At 43.3% G+C, this 15,923-nt stretch overlaps 3 annotated features.

Annotated features, from left to right (window-relative positions):
• Positions 12,791-13,598: an enhancer, noted in NCBI's record as "H3K4me1 hESC enhancer chr14:102086475-102087282 (GRCh37/hg19 assembly coordinates)". NCBI's record gives its function as "activates a minimal SCP1, AML or CMV promoter by ChIP-STARR-seq in naive H9 embryonic stem cells {active_cell/tissue: H9 hESC(naive)}" and the evidence as "EXISTENCE:reporter gene assay evidence [ECO:0000049][PMID:30033119]".
• Positions 14,800-15,356: an enhancer, noted in NCBI's record as "H3K4me1 hESC enhancer chr14:102088484-102089040 (GRCh37/hg19 assembly coordinates)". NCBI's record gives its function as "activates a minimal SCP1, AML or CMV promoter by ChIP-STARR-seq in naive H9 embryonic stem cells {active_cell/tissue: H9 hESC(naive)}" and the evidence as "EXISTENCE:reporter gene assay evidence [ECO:0000049][PMID:30033119]".
• Positions 15,357-15,913: an enhancer, noted in NCBI's record as "H3K4me1 hESC enhancer chr14:102089041-102089597 (GRCh37/hg19 assembly coordinates)". NCBI's record gives its function as "activates a minimal SCP1, AML or CMV promoter by ChIP-STARR-seq in naive and primed H9 embryonic stem cells {active_cell/tissue: H9 hESC(naive and primed)}" and the evidence as "EXISTENCE:reporter gene assay evidence [ECO:0000049][PMID:30033119]".

The following is a 15,923-nucleotide window of genomic DNA, read 5'->3' on the forward strand; positions in this document are numbered from 1 at the left end:
CAGGATGGACTGGTGGGAACTTTAAGAATTAATTAGGTCCTGAGGGCTCTGCCCTCATCAATGGATTAACGCCATCATCACAGGAGTGGATTCTTGATAAAAGCGTGGATTCAGCCCCCTTCCTCCTGACCTTCCTCTCCTTCCTCCTCCACCTCTCCTCCTTCCTCCTCCACCTCTCCTCCTCCTCCTCCACCTCTCCTCCTTCCTCCTCCTTTTCTCCACCTCCTCCTCCTCCACCTCTCCTCCTCCTCCTTTTCTCCACCTCCTCCTCCTTCTTCACCTCTCCTCCTCCTCCTCCTCCACTTCCTCCTCTCCTCCACCTCTCCTCCTCCTCCACCTCTCCTCTTCCTCCACCTTTCCTTCTCCTCCACCTCTCCTCCTCCTCCTTTTCTCCACCTCCTCCTCCTCCTTCACCTCTCCTCCTCCTCCATCTCTCCTCCTCCTCCACTTCCTCCTCCTCTCCTCCACCTCTCCTCCTCCTCCACCTCTCCTCTTCCTCCACCTTTCCTCCTCCTCCACCTCTCCTCCTCTCCTCCGCCTCTCCTCCTCCTCCACCTCTCCTCCTCCTCCTCCTCCACCTCTCCTCCTCCTCTTCTCCACCTCCTCCTCCTTCACCTCTCCTCCTCCATCTCTCCTCCTCCTCCTCCACTTCCTCCTCCTCTCCTCCACCTCTCCTCTTCCTCCACCTCTCCTCTTCCTCCACCTCTCCTCCTCTCCTCCACCTCTCCTCTTCCTCCACCTCCTCCTCCTCTACTCCACCTCTCCTCCTCCTCCACCTCCTCCTCCTGTCCTCCACCTCTCCTCCTTCTCCTCTCCTCCTCCACCTCTCTTCCTTCTCCTACCTCTCCTCTCCTCCTCCACCTCTCTTCCTTCTCCTACCTCTCTCTGTCTCTCTCTCTCATTCTGTCTTGTGCATGTGCATGCTGTCTTGCCCTTCCACCTGTCACCTGGGATGACACAGCAAGAAGGCCCTCTCCTCAACCTTACACTTCTCAGCCTCCAAGACTGTAAGAAATAAATCTCTATTCTTTATAAATTATCCAGTCTCAGATATTATGTTATAGCAGCACAAAATGGACTAAGACAAGTAGTAATAAAGTATTTTGTGATCATAGCATACGGCTAAATGAAATTAATGATGGCAACTTTAAAAGAGGAGAAAGAAATTGTAGATATTCTTTTATAAGGTAGTTGCACTACATGTGAAGTAATATACTGCTAGTTGAAGGTGGACTTAAATTAGTTATACATGTAAATTGCAAACTCTAGGGAAACCAGTAAATAAATATCGGTTAAGTATAACCGATATGCCTAAGAGAGGAGAGAAAACAGAATAATTTTTAAACGCCTAATTAAAATGATAGAAAGCAGAAAAAGAGGGAAGAAGTAACAAGTGTAACAAATAGAAGGCAGTTATAAACAAGGTAGATATTAATTCAACCCTATCAATAATCACCTTGAATATGAATGCTCTAAGTATACCAATTGAGAGACAGATATTGGCAGAGTGGATTAGGAAGACAAGACTCAACTAAATGGTATCTATAAGAAACCCACTTTAAACATAATGACACATGTAAATTAAAAGCAAAATATCAATGAAAGTGAAAAAGCAAAGGGATAGAGAAAGATATATCATGGCAACAGAAGGAAAGCTGGAGTCCGAAGAAAGCTGTAGTTGCATTGTTAATTTCAGACACGTCAGGCTTCAAAGCAAAGAAAATTAACAGGAATGAAGAGGAGCACTGAATAATGACAAAAGGGTCAAATTCTTCAAGAAGATATAATAGTCCCTGATGTGTATGCTTTTAACAACAGCATGTCAAAATACATGAGACAAAAACTGCTAGAACTACATAGAGAAACACGCAAATCCACTAACACAGTTGGAGACTTCAGCGCCTCTCTTTCAGTAATTGACAAAGCATGTAGAAAATCAGTAAGGATATTTTTGACTTGAACAGCACTACCAATCAACTTGATCTAATTGACATTTCTAGAAAACTCCATGCAAGGATGATAGAATACACACTCTTCTCAAGTTCACATGAAACATACGCCCAGATAGACCATGCTCTGGATCATGAGACGCACCTTAACAAACTGAAAAGAATAGAAATCACACAAACTATTATCTCAGGCCACAGCAGAATTAAACAGAAAGTCAATAATAGAGATAAACTGGAAAATCCCAAAATATTTGGAGATAAAACGACACACTTCTAAATAACATATGGATCAAAAAAAGAAGTCTAGATAATTGTTTAATATTTTTAACTAAATGAAAATATAACTCAAAATTTGTGGATGCAGTGAAAGCAGTGCTTAGACATTTATGGCATTAAATGCATATATTAGAAAGGAAAAATCAAAAAGAAGGAAATCTCATCATTTGTGACAACACAGATAAACGTGGAAGGCATTATGTTAGATGAGATAAGCCAGACACAGAAAAATCTCCCTTATGTCTAGAATCTTAAAAAGTTGAACTCAGAGTTACCAGAATGGTGGTTACCAGGAACTGGGCAGGGAGTTGGGAGATGTTGGTCAAAGGATACAAAATTTCAGCTAGACAGGAGGAATAAGTTCCAGAGATCTATTGTACAACATGGTGACTATACTTAATAACAATGTATCATATTCTTGAAAATTGCTAAGAGCAGATTGTAAGTGTTCTCACCACAAGTAAATACGTGTAATAATGCATTTGTTAATTAGTTCAGTTTAATCATTCCACAGTGTGGACATATTTCAAAACTATTTATTGGATGTGATAAATAAGTAAATTTTATTTGTCAATGAAAAACCTAAAAATAATAAAATGTCTTTTAAAGATAAAGAAATGTAAAATCAGTAATCTAAACATCCATCTTAAGATAAGAAAGGAGCAATTTAAGCCTAAAGCAAGCAGAAGAAAAGAAGTAATAAAAATTAGAGACAAAAATCAATAGAATCAAAAACAGAAAAACAATAGAGAAAATCAGTGTAACCAAAAGCACGTTCTTTGAGTCAATAAAAATGATAAACCTCTAGCAAAGCTAACCAAGAAAAAGATGAGAGAAGATATAAATTACTAATATCAGAAATGAAAGAAAGTTAATCGCTATTGATCCCATGGACATCAAGAGGATAATAAAGGAGGCTATGAACAACTCTCTGCGGATAAATTTGATAACTTAGATGAAATGGACTAATTACTTGAAAGACCCAGATACCAAAACTTCACACAAGGAGAATAAGACTATTTAAGTAGGCCTGTCTATGAACGAAATTGAATCAATAATGACTTTCCAAAAGAGAAAGTAGCAGCCCCAGAGAGTCTTACTGGTAAATTGTATCAAACATTTAAGGAAGAAATGATACCAATTCTCTACAATCCCTTCTAGAAAATAGAAACAGAAGAAACACTTCCTAACTCATTCTGTGAAGCCAGCATTACCCTAATACCAAAATCAGATAAATACATGACAAGAAAGGAACGCAGCAGACCAGTACCTCTCATGAACATGAATGTAAAAATCTTCAATAAAAGACTATCAAATCGAGGCCAGGAGCAGTGGCTCACGCTTGTAATCCTAGCACTTTGGGAGACTGAGGCAGGCGGATCACGAGGTCAGGAGATCAAGACCATCCTGGCTGACATGGTGAAACCCCGTCTCTACTATTTCCGTCTCTACTAAAAATTAAAAAACAAATAAATAAAATAACTAAATTAGCCAGGCATGGTGGCAGACGCCTATAGTCCCAGCTACTCAGGAGGCTGAGGCAGGAGAATGGCTTGAACACTGGAGGCAGAGGTTGCAGTGAGCCAAGATCATGCCACTGCACTCCAGCCTGGGCAACAAAGCGAGACTCCATCTCGAAAAAAAAAAGACTGTCAAGTCAAATCTACTAATATATAAAAATAATTATAAACCATGACCAAATGGGATTATTTTCATGTATTCAAGACTGGTTCAACATTTGAAAATCAATTAATGTAATCTACCACATCAACAAGATAAGGAGCAAAACTCATATGTGCACATCAATAAATGCAGAAGAAGCGTTTGACAAAAATCCGACACTAATTCATGTAAAAAAAAAATTTCTCAGCAAACTAGGAATGCAGAAGAATTTCTCCAACTTGATAAAGAACATCTACAAAAACCTACAGTGAGTATCATGCTTAATAGTGAGAAACTGGGTGCTTTCTCTGTGAGACTAGGAACGAGGCAAAGATATTCCCTCTCACTGTTATTATTCAACATCATACTGACAGTCCAGCTATTGTAACCAGAAAAAGAAACAAAAATCATACAGATTTTGAAGGAAGCAATAAAACTGAATTTGTTCACAGTTGATGTGGTTAACTATAAAGAAAACCCCCAAAAAATCACATACATGTACACACACAAAATCTCCTGGAACTATAAGGAATTAGAGCAAAGTCAGGGGCTACAATGTTAATACACAAAAGTCAGCTGCTTTCCTATAAGCCAGCAATATGAAATTTAAAAACAATATCAATTACAACACCACCACCAACAAAATATTAGGTATAAGTCTAACAAAATATGTTCAGAATCTGGCCAGGTGCAGTGGCTCACACCTATAAACCTAGCATTTTGGGAGGCTGAGGCAGGCGCACTGCGCCCAGGAGTTCGAGGCCAGCCTGGGCAACATGGTGAAACCCCATCTCCACCAAAAATACAAAAAAAAAAAAAAAATAGCCAGGCATGGTGGTGCATGCCTGTAGTCCCAGCAACTCAAGAGGTTGAGGTGAAAGGATGACTTTAGCCCAGAGAGGTCGAGGCTGCAGTGACCCGTGATCCTGCCATTGCACTCCAGCCTGGGCGAGAGAGTGATACCCTGTCTAAAAAAAAAATTTTTTTTTAAATGTTCAGAATTTATATGTGAAAAACTATGAAACTCTGATTTTTCAAAATCAAAGAATATCTAATCAAGGAATATTGTGTTTAAGGATTGAAAGACTCAATATTTTGAGATGTCAGTTCTTCCCAATTTTATCTACAGATTCAATACAATCCCAAACAAAATCCCAGCAAGCTATTTTGTAGATATTGACAAACTGATTCTAAAGTTATATGAAAAGAAAAACGCCCACAGAAGCTAAAGCAATACGGAAGAAGAACAAAGTCGGAGAACTGACACTACCTGACATCAGGACTTATCATAAAGCTACAGTAATCAAGACAGCCTAGTATTGGTGAAAGAAAAGACAAACAGATCAATAGACCAGAATAGAAAACACAGAAATAGACCCACACAAATATAGACAGCTGCTCTTTACCAGAGGAGCAAAAGCAATTCAAAGGAGAAAGACGATCTTTCAATAAATGATGTGGAAAAATTGGACATCCGTATGCAAAAATAATAAGAATCTAGAAACAGATCTTATGCCTTTCACAAAAATTAATTCAAAATGGATTATAGCCCTAAATGTAAAATGCAAAGCTATAAAACTTCAGAAGAAAACAGCTGAAATCTGGGTGATCTCGGGTTTGATGATGAGTTTTTAGGTACAATATCAAAAGCATGACCCATGAAAAAAATTGGTAAGGTGAACTTCAGTAACACTGAAAATGACTGCTGTGTAAATGATACTGTTAAAAGAATGAAAACACAAGCCACAGACTCGGAGAAAATGTTCACAAAACACATAACTGATAAACAACTGGCATCCAAAATATACAAAGAACTCTTAAAACTCAACAGTAAGAAAACAACCCAATTGAAAAATGAGCAAAAATTCTGCATAGACATCCCATCAAAGAAGATCTGCATATGACAAATAAAAATATAAAAAGGTGGTCAATCACCTAAGGTCTGGAATTCAAGACCAACCTGGGCCAACATGGTGAAACCCCATCTCTACTGAAAATACAAAAGATTAGGTGGGCGTGGTAGTGGGTTCCTGTAATCCCAGCTACTCGGGAGGCTGAGGCAGGAGAATTGCTTGAACCTGGGAGGTGGACATTACAGTGAGCTGAGATCACGCCACTGTACTCCAGCCTGGGCAACAAGAGCAAAACTCCATCTCAAAAAATAAAAAATAATAAAAATAAAAATGAAAGATGGTCAAAATCTTTTGTCATTAGGAAATAGCAACTTGAAACAATGAGATACTACTACACACATACTAGAATTGCTAAAATCTAAAAACCTGACAGTACCAGTGCTGGTGAGGATGCAGAGAAACAGAAACTTCCATTCATTGCTCGAGGGAATGTAAAGTGGTACAGTCACTTTGGAATATAGTGTGGCAGTTTCTTACAAATCTAAACATAGTCTCACCATACGATCCAGCAATCACACTCATAAGTATTTACCCAACTGATTTGAAAACTTATGTTCACACAAAAACCTATATGAAAATGTTTACAGTGGCTTTATTCGTAATTGTCAAACACTGGAAACAACTGAGATATCCTTCGGCGGATGAATAGATGGATAAACTGTGGTACATCCATACAATGAAATATTATTCAGTGATAAAAATATATTGGCCATCAAGTCATTGAAAATGTGGAGGAACTTTAAATGCATATTGTGAAGTAAAATAAGCCAGTCTGAAAAGGCTACATACTGCAGGATTTAATTATATAACATTCTAGAACACACAAAACTCTGTAGCGACAATGAAAAGATCAGTAGTTTCCAGAGTTTCAGAGAGAAGGAGAGAGATGGAACGGGTAAAGCGTAAGGGTGGTGAAACTATTCCGCATGATCCTGTAATGGTGGACACGTGATGTTACTCATTGTTCAAACCCATAGAACTGGACAGCACGAAGAAGGAACCCTCGTCTATGCAAATTTTAAAAATCATTTAGGTCGGGGGATTCCAAGAGGGATGTAGTTGATAGCAACAGACTCTAAAGGTGTTATAAATGCATGAAACCACCCCAGTGAAGCGGAAGAGGGAAAAGATGGTGAGCCAAGTGACTCTGGAAATTAATGGAGACAAAAGGAACAGTGCATAAACCCTGTGCTCTAGTTGATGGTTGTTTGCAGTCGATAGATGGTGGTACCGGTTAATAGTTCTGATACCGCTGGACATGTATAATGGAATTGAACAATTAAGTAAATGGATGGTGGATGGTAGAATCCAGGTTTCTCCCCGTTGGAGTGGGAATTTACAGATAAGCAAGGAGAGGAGGTTAGAATGGCCCATGAGGTCAGGGATACGAGTTGGAGACATCACTATTGACTCACGTTTAGCTCAATATAGATACAGGTGGTTACATACAGAAGCATTTATAGATATGTTGATCTGTCAGCTGAGAGGGTCTAGAAGCAACCACACTCAATAGCAACAAGCAGGTCCGGCATCCAGACCTTAGTTTCCAATGCCATTCTGCAGTAGAACCACCCAGGGCTCCTTGGAGAAATGGCTGATTCTATGGCTGGGGCAGGAAATCTACAAAATGAGTATCTCGTAGTGCCAGAAATTGAGGAAGTGCTCAAAAATAAAACACAAAACCCCTTCATTGATGGGGGAATGTTAAAGGGACTCAGAAGTCAACTGTAAGTGCTCCCAGGGGCCAAAGCTGAAACGATTTGAGCAACAAAATCAGCTATTATTGGATTATAGCCCAAAGTATGAAATAAATATCTGTGAGTCCATGCTGATATAAGTAAATGATTAACTAAATAAATAAGTGGGGGAGAAGAGAAAAATCTCCCTTGCAGAGGAATTCCAAATAATGTATATAAATATTTCACCCTCAAGGAGGAGGAACATAAATCCCCTTCCTTAAGTTCGGGATGTGCATAGTGACATCCTTCTAAACAGTGTAGTACGGAAAAGGGGGAAACAGTAACTTTACAATGGAGAAAACTGATAAACATCTCAGCTGTGTGATCAGGGTCAATGAAGTCATGTTGATAGCATGTGCTCTTGATATGGTGTGATAAGAATGGCATTCTCATCTGGAAAAACCTCTGTGGTTTTTCCACCCAAAACCCATAAACCCAGCCTAATCATTGGAAAAACATCAGACAAATCCCAATTTGGGGGCACTCTGCAAAAGACCTGACCGGTACTCCTCAAAAGTGCCAAGGTCGTCAAAACAAGGACAGAGTAAGAAACTCTCATAGCCAAGAGAAGCCTGAAGAAACATGAGAAGTAAATGAGATAGGATCCTGGAAGAGGAGAAGCCACTGTGTCAAAGCTAACAAAATCTGGATAAAGTCTAGTACTTAGTGGTTGAAGATAACATACCAATATTGGTTCACTATATGTAACAAAATGAGAGAAGAGTCAGTGAACTTCAAAATACATCAACAGAAATGATCCAATCTGAAGAACAGAGAAATGGGATCAAAAAGAAATGAACAGAGCTTCAGGGACCTGTGCAGAAATATCAAAAGGCCAAACACAAATGTAATTGGAGCCACAAAAAGAGCAAGAAAAGAAAATGAGGGCCAGGTGTGATGGCTCATGCCCATAATCCCAGCACTTTGGGGGCTCAAAGTGAAATGACTGCATGAGGCCAGGAGTTTGAGACCAGCCCGGGCAACAGCAAGACCGCTGTCTCTACAAAAAATAAAAATAAAAAAATTATGCAGACATGGTGACACGTGCTAATAGTCCCAGTACTCAGGAAGCTGAGGTGGGAGGATCCCTTGAGCCCAGGAGTTCAAGGCTGCAGTGAGCTATGATCATGTCACTGCACTCCAGCCTTGGTGATAGAGCAAGACCCTGTCTCAGGACAGGAAAAAAAGGAAAAGAAAAGAAGGAAGGAAGGAAGGAAGGAAGGAAGGAAGGAAGGAAGGACGGACGGAAGGGAGGGAGGGAGGGAGGAAGGGAGGGAAAGGAAGGAAGATATTTAAAGAAATAATGCCCAAAATTTCCCAAATGTGATAAAGACAAAAATTTTAAGGATTCAAGAAGTTCAGGAGACCCCAAGGAGAATGAAAAAATGAAATAAAAACACATACTCATGCCCAAATAAAAACACAACAGTCAAATTTCAGAAAACTAAAGATAAACAGAAAATCATAAAAGCAGCCAGAGGAAACTACAATTACGTGTAGCAGAACAATTGAAATCACCACTGACTTCTCATCAGAAACTATGGAGACAAGAAGACAGTAGATCTTCAAAATATCAAAAGAAAAAGACTTTCAACTCAGAACTCTATAACCAAAGAAAATCGTCTTCAAGAATGAAGGTGAAATAAGAACACTTTGGATCCAAGAAAACCAAGAGAATTCATTCCTGTACTGCAAGAAATCCTAAAGGGAGCTTTTCAGGCTGGAAAGAAACGATACCAGATGGAAATGTCAATCTTCAGGAAGAATAAAGAGCCTGGAAAATGATAAATGATACATACCTAGTAAATATTAACACTTTCATTCTATTTCTTAAAAAGCAAACCCCATTTTCCTATGGAGTTTATAATGTATGTGGATATCTTACATATAACAACTATAACATAAAGGATATATATATATATACACACATATATATGGTTGCAAGATTTCTACATTTTACATGAAGTGGTAAAATATTCATTTAAGTAGACTGTCAAAAGTTAAGAATGTATTTTTAATCCCTAGAACAGCTACCAGAATTTTTTAAAATACGAGAAGGTATAGCTAAAAAATGCAATAGATAAAACAAAACCCTAAAAACCATTCCAATTCTTCAAAAGAAGACAGAAAAGAGAGTCAGAGGAACCAAAAACAAAGGAAATAATCAGAAAACACATAATAAAATGAAAGATATGAATGAACCAAACAACATAATAAAAAGACAGAGATTGTCAAAATGGATACAAAAGCAAGAACCAGCTATAAACCTATACAGGTGACGCCCTTTAAATATGAAGACAGGGAAGGCGCAGTGGCTCACACCTGTAATCGCAGCACCTTGGGAGGCCGAGGCGGGCAGATCACCTGAGGTCTGGAGTCCAAGACCAGCCTGGCCAACATGGTAAAACCCTGGCTCTACTAAAAATACAAAAATTAGCTAGGCATGGCAGCAGGCACCTGTAATCCCAGCTACTCAGGAGGCTGAGACAGGAGAATCTCTTGAACCCGGGAGGCAGAGGTTGCAGTGAGCCAAGATCACACCACTGCACTCCAGCCTGGGTGACAGAGCACCTTTATTTATTTATTTATTTATTTATTTTGTACACTTTGAAAGTGTAGTTCAAAGTGAATGGATGTGAATAGAGAGAGGGAAAAAAAGTAGTTGTAAAAAAGCTGGGGTCAGCCGGGCGTGGTGGCTCACACCTGTAATCCCACATTTTGGGAGGCCGAGGCAGGCAGATCACAAGGTCAGGAGATCGAGACCATCCTGGCTAACACAGTGAAACCCCGTCTCTACTAAAAATAGAAAAATTAGCTGGGTATGGTGGTGGGCACCTGCAGTCCCAGCTACTCGGGAGGCTGAGGCAAGAGAATGGCGTGAACCCGGGAGGCGGAGCTTGCAGTGAGCCGAGATCGCGCCACTGCACTCCAGCCTGGGCGACAGCACCAGACTCCATCTCAAAAAAAAAAAAAAAAAAAAAAAAGCTGGGGTCATTATCTTAATATCAGATAAAAGAGACTTCAAGAAAAAGGGTTTTATTCGTGATCATGAAGCCCAGCTCATAAAGATAAAATGGTTAATTCATCAGGAAAACATAAATATGTATTCATATAATAACAAAACCTAAAAATATATGAAGCCAAAATTAACAGAATTTAAAAGGGGAAACAGACAGCTCTTTGATCATCATTAAAGATGTTAACTCTACTCTTTTAGTAATTAATAGAATAATAGATTAAAAGTTCAGATATAAATGAAATAGTTGATCTGAATAACACTATCAACCACTTCAATTGATATTTATGGAATACTATATTCAACTACAGAGTCCACATTCTTTTAAAGGGCATTTCCAAAAATAGGCTATATTCTGAGCTATAAAACAAGGTTTAATAAGTACTGAAATCAGCCAGAGTACATCCGATAACAATGGAATTAAATCCAGTAATAATACAATATCTCAGAAACCCCCAAATGTTTTTAAACAACATACTTCTCAATAATCAATGGATCAAAGGAACCACAAAAACTGAATAATCATGAAAATACAGCATATCAAAATCAATGATATGCAGCTAAAACAGTGCTTGGGGGAAATGTATAACCCTCTAAGTGTATATAGAAAACAATAGAGAAAATTAACAAAGCCAAAATTTGGTTCTTTGAGAAGATGAACAAAATTGATTACCCCTTAGCTAGATTGATCATGAAAGAGAGAAAACACAAATCATCAATACCCAGATTTAGCAAGACATGGTCACTACAAATCCTGCAGACAACTTTACATGAACAAATTCAACAAGTGCTAGGAAATTGACAACTCCCTGAAAAATACACCTTACCAAAACTAACACAAGATGAAATAGAACACTTTAATAGCCCTATAATTAATTTAAAAACTGAATTTGTTAGCAAACCCTTCACATAAATAAAACTCCAGACTCAGATGTCTTCATTGGTGAACCATATCAAACACTGAAGGAGGAACACAGCCTCTTTGAAAAAATCAAGGATAAAGAGAACACTTCTCAAGTTATTTTATGAGACTAAAATAATCTTAATACCAAAACCTGACAAATACATTGCAAAATTGATAAATTTGCAGACAATTACAGTCCAATATCTCTCATGAAAACATAGACACAAAAAAATCTTAATGAATTATTAGCAAATAGAATCCAACAGTATATTTAAAAGAACAAAAGGACTTATCTCAGCAGTATAAAGTGTTTTAAGATTTGAAAATCAATATAATTTACCATATAAAAAGAAAGGAGAAAGTAAAAAACATATGATCAATTCAACACCCAACCCTGATAGCACTCTCAGAAAACTAAGAATAAAGAGAATCTTCCTTACCCAACAAAGGACATCTGAGAAAATGCTATGCTAACATCATACTAAATGCTGAAATATTGACACTGTCCTCCTAAGATAGACATTCTCACCACTTCTATTCAACATTATACTGGAGACCCTGGCATTGCAATCAGGAAAGAAAAACAGGATAAAAGGCACGAAAATTGAAGAAGATGCAGTAAAACTGTGTCTCCCTGCAGTCAAGAAGGGTGAGGCCAGAGGCTGAATGTGCCAGGATGCTGGAGCGTGGTCCAGGCAGAAAACTCTGGGGTGGAATAAACCAATGGGGCTAGGACACCTGGACCACAATGGGAAGGAGGGAGCCCCAGAGTGCCAGGTTCCCTCACTCGGGAGGCAAATCAGGGGACCGTGGGAAGAAGAAGACAGAGCCCAGGGCGGTGAGCTGCTGCCCCTGCTTCATCCTGTGCACGGCAGCAATGGGGCCACCTGCCCAGAGACCCCGAGTGTCACACTTGCTGGTGGGTAGAGAGGGCAGACAGGCCTGGCCTGAGGCCTGTCCAGGGCTGGAGGAGGACACAGAGCCCCTTGGCCAGTGGATCTGTGCTTGTTCTCAATAGTGGGACGGGCTAGACAGTCAGTGACTGGGACCACTGGAGTCAAGGGTGGGCGGGGGTGGCACACAGGACAGGCTCAGCCAGGGAGAGCTGTTAATTTGACCACGTAGCCCAGCAGTCCTACACCCCAACACCCCCATCCCACTTCCCCCACCCCCACACACACACACCTGTTCCCAGGTGTGCTCAAGCATCTTTGGAGGCTTCCTCTCAACTTGGATCCTCAAAAATCAGAGGCAGATGCTGAGACCCTTTTGGGGCTAGGACATACCTTCAAGAAGCTGGAAATGGGGGTGGCAGGCCTGGATTCAGAGGCAAAGACACAGCTTCCAGGGGAGGCGAGAGTCAGGGTCAGGCACAGGTCACAGGCCACACCCAAAGGCTTCAGGTCCAGGGCCCCTGGCTGCCCCGCCTCAGCCCTCCTCCCAGGCTCCTTCCCCAGTCTCCTCTGGCCACAGCACGCTTCCTCCAGATGTTCCAGCCACCTGGCTTAGACACTCCTGCTGCCCTCTGAGCCAGCATGAGACCGTCTGCAGTGCTGGCATCAAAAGACCCCAGAGTCAGGGAATGTGGAGGCTCAGAGTCAGGCCTGGGATGAGCTGGACCCCAGAGCCAGGGAACGTGGAGGCTCAGAGTCGGGCCTGGGATGAGCTGCCCTTGGCATGGGTCACCTGCCCCGAGACGCGGGTCACTGTGGCTGTGCTGTCTCCATTTCTGTGCAGGTCCCAGGCCCCAAAACACCTCAAAGGAAGGAGCCAGGGCCTACAGGCAGGAGATGCCAGGGAGCTCCGGGCCCTCAGGCAGGATGTGGATGGGAGACCTGGAGTTGGGGTCCCAGGTGGGAGTGGGGGTGGGGACCAGCCTGGGCCAGGCCCCAAGTCAGACACATGGGTTTCCATCCTGTCCCATTTCTTCAGGCAAAGGCTGAGGGTCCCCGTCAAGCTGTTAACACTGGAGTGGGAATTATCTTCTCAGACAAGCCAGTCCCCAGCTGGGCTCTGAGACAGAGAGCCCAGAAGCAAAGAGTGAAAGTCACCAGTCAGGACTGGGGTGCCTTGGGAGACGGCTGGAAATGTTCCCAGCGTCACCTCGTACACCCTCCACAAATAACTGTCCCGTCATCTGTCTCTGCTGCTGAGATTCCCCGCTGGGGCTTGGGAACATTTCCCCACTGTCTCTGACAGCCCTGGGCCTGCAAACCAGAGCCCCACTTGCAGGCCGCATGTCTGGCAAATCTCTTACCCTCTCTGAGGCCCCTCAGACTCTACCCAGCAGGGGCCCTGCCCCAGGCCCCACGTCTCGGGGAGCTCCAGCTTTGATGTGCCCTCCTCAAATTGTCTGAGACCCCTGTGGTGTCTGGGACAAGCCCTGACCTGGACTGTGGGGACCCTAGTTCCCCCTTCTCCCCATTTGGGGCGCTCTCTAACTCTACCCAACCACCACCCCACATGGGGTAAACCAGGTGTCCAGAGGTACCCTGGGAATGAACTAGGTCTGGGAGGGAGGCCTGGCAGGCCGGCCACTCGGCTGGAGGATCCACGCTTCTTTCGTGAGGTCACATGAGGCTGGGCCATCAGAACCGCACACGTGGGGTGGCACTCACCCATGTCAAACACAAGACAAGCTCAAGTCTCTGAGTCCACCACCAACACTTGGACTTGAGCCACAGCGTGAGCCTGAGTGCTGATTCCCGGGTGCTGACCTCTCTCTGTTCTGGCCAGGGTGCTGCTTCCAGTCCGTGGCACCCAAGAGGCATGATGGTGACTGGCGCTAACCGGGTAGCTCCGCTGCTGGCAGCCACACTCTCCACTGCTGCATGCCAGGTCAGCTGTCCTCCAGGGTGCTCAGAGGCCACTGTCCCCAGTGCCAAGGGGCCCCTCCATCCATGTCTTCCCTGCCTTCAGTTGGAGGCAGAATGTACCTTCAGTCTCAGGCTGAATGTACCAGGGTCGGATGTTCACTGCATGAATAAAATGACTCTTCTCGGTCACCCACTGGCCGTGCAGTGTGGGAAGGCAGGGCTCCATCAGCCCCAAGAGAGAACACAGGGAGAAGAGATGTTTACCTTCCTGCTACTTCCTAAAGGTAAATTTAACATGACCAGAAAACAAATTAGTTTCCATTTTCCCACATCCTCTGGGTACAACTTGCATTTGTGGTCATGTCAACAAAAAAGCCACAGACGGGTGCAGTGGCTCACGCCTGTAATCCAGCACTTGAGGAGGCTGAGGTGGGCCGATTGCTTGAGCTCAGGAGTTCGAGACCAGCCTGGGCAACATGGCAAAACCCCATCTCTACCAAAAATACAAAAATTAGCAGGGTGTGATGGTGCATGCCTGTGGTATCAGATACTTAGGAGGCTGAGGCAGGAGGACTGCTTAAGCCCAGAGGGCAGAGTTTGCAGTAAACTGAGATCATGCCACTGTAGTCCAGCCTGGGCAACAGAGAGAGAGATCCTGTCTCAAAAAATAAAAAGAGAGAGAGAGAGAGAAACCACAACGTTTGGAGCAACAACCCCAAAGCCAACCAGGAGGAGACCCACAGTCTCCCAGAGCCAACCAGGGGGAGCCCACCGTTCTCTGCATTGGCTGGACAGGCTCTCTCCTGCAGAGCCCCTTCCCTAGAATGCCCTTCCCCCTGTGCTGCTCGACCTGCTTCCTCCAGGCCTGGTTCTGCCATGGCCTTCTCCAGGAAGTTCCTTGTCACTCCCAGCAGGAAGGTAGAGCACTAGACGTCTTGCCCTCTCAAGGCCCGGCCCCAAGCCCCATCCCACCGTCACCTGAGGCATGTCTGAGCTGACTGCCCAGACTAAGAGGCCCAACAATGAGCGCCCAACCTGGAGTCAGAGGCCCAGGCTGTGTGACACTGGGCCCATTCCCTACCCATTCTGGACCCCAGCATCCTCACGGGCTGAGGAGAGACGAGACCCCTGCCCGGCAGGGCTCAAGAGAATCTGGGGAGCAGCGGGACCACCTGTCTCCACCGAAGCACCCGGCACCCGCTCAGGTGTTGGTATTACTCTCTCTCCCACCTGCTACATGCCAGAGCCGGGGCAGCCCAGGGAGGAGAGGACCCTGCCACAGTCCTCAGCTTGCTGCTGGGGCAAAAATCAACGAGACAATGACAGGAAGTGTGAAGAATGCTGGGCTTTCAGGGAGGGCTTCAGGCAGCCTGGGAAGGCTTCCAGGAAGAAGTGGCACGGAGCTCTGTTTCCTTGTAAGTTACCATTTCTTGGGTACTAGTGGCAGGCACTCGTTTATACCTCCAGCACCCCGTGAGGCAGGTACAGAAAGGATTACTCCCATTTTACAGATGGGGAAACTGAGGTTTAGTCCCACAGATGGTATACTCAGGGCCAGGTGCGGGGAGTGGGGGAGGTTTCAGGACAAGGGGAACAACAGTGTGGAGGCAGGAAGCAGCTGGGTGTTTTGGGGGCCGGACACTTTGGT

The sequence above is a fragment of the Homo sapiens genome, chromosome 14, assembly GCF_000001405.40.
Source record: "Homo sapiens chromosome 14, GRCh38.p14 Primary Assembly".
Taxonomy (NCBI): Eukaryota; Metazoa; Chordata; class Mammalia; order Primates; family Hominidae; genus Homo; species Homo sapiens.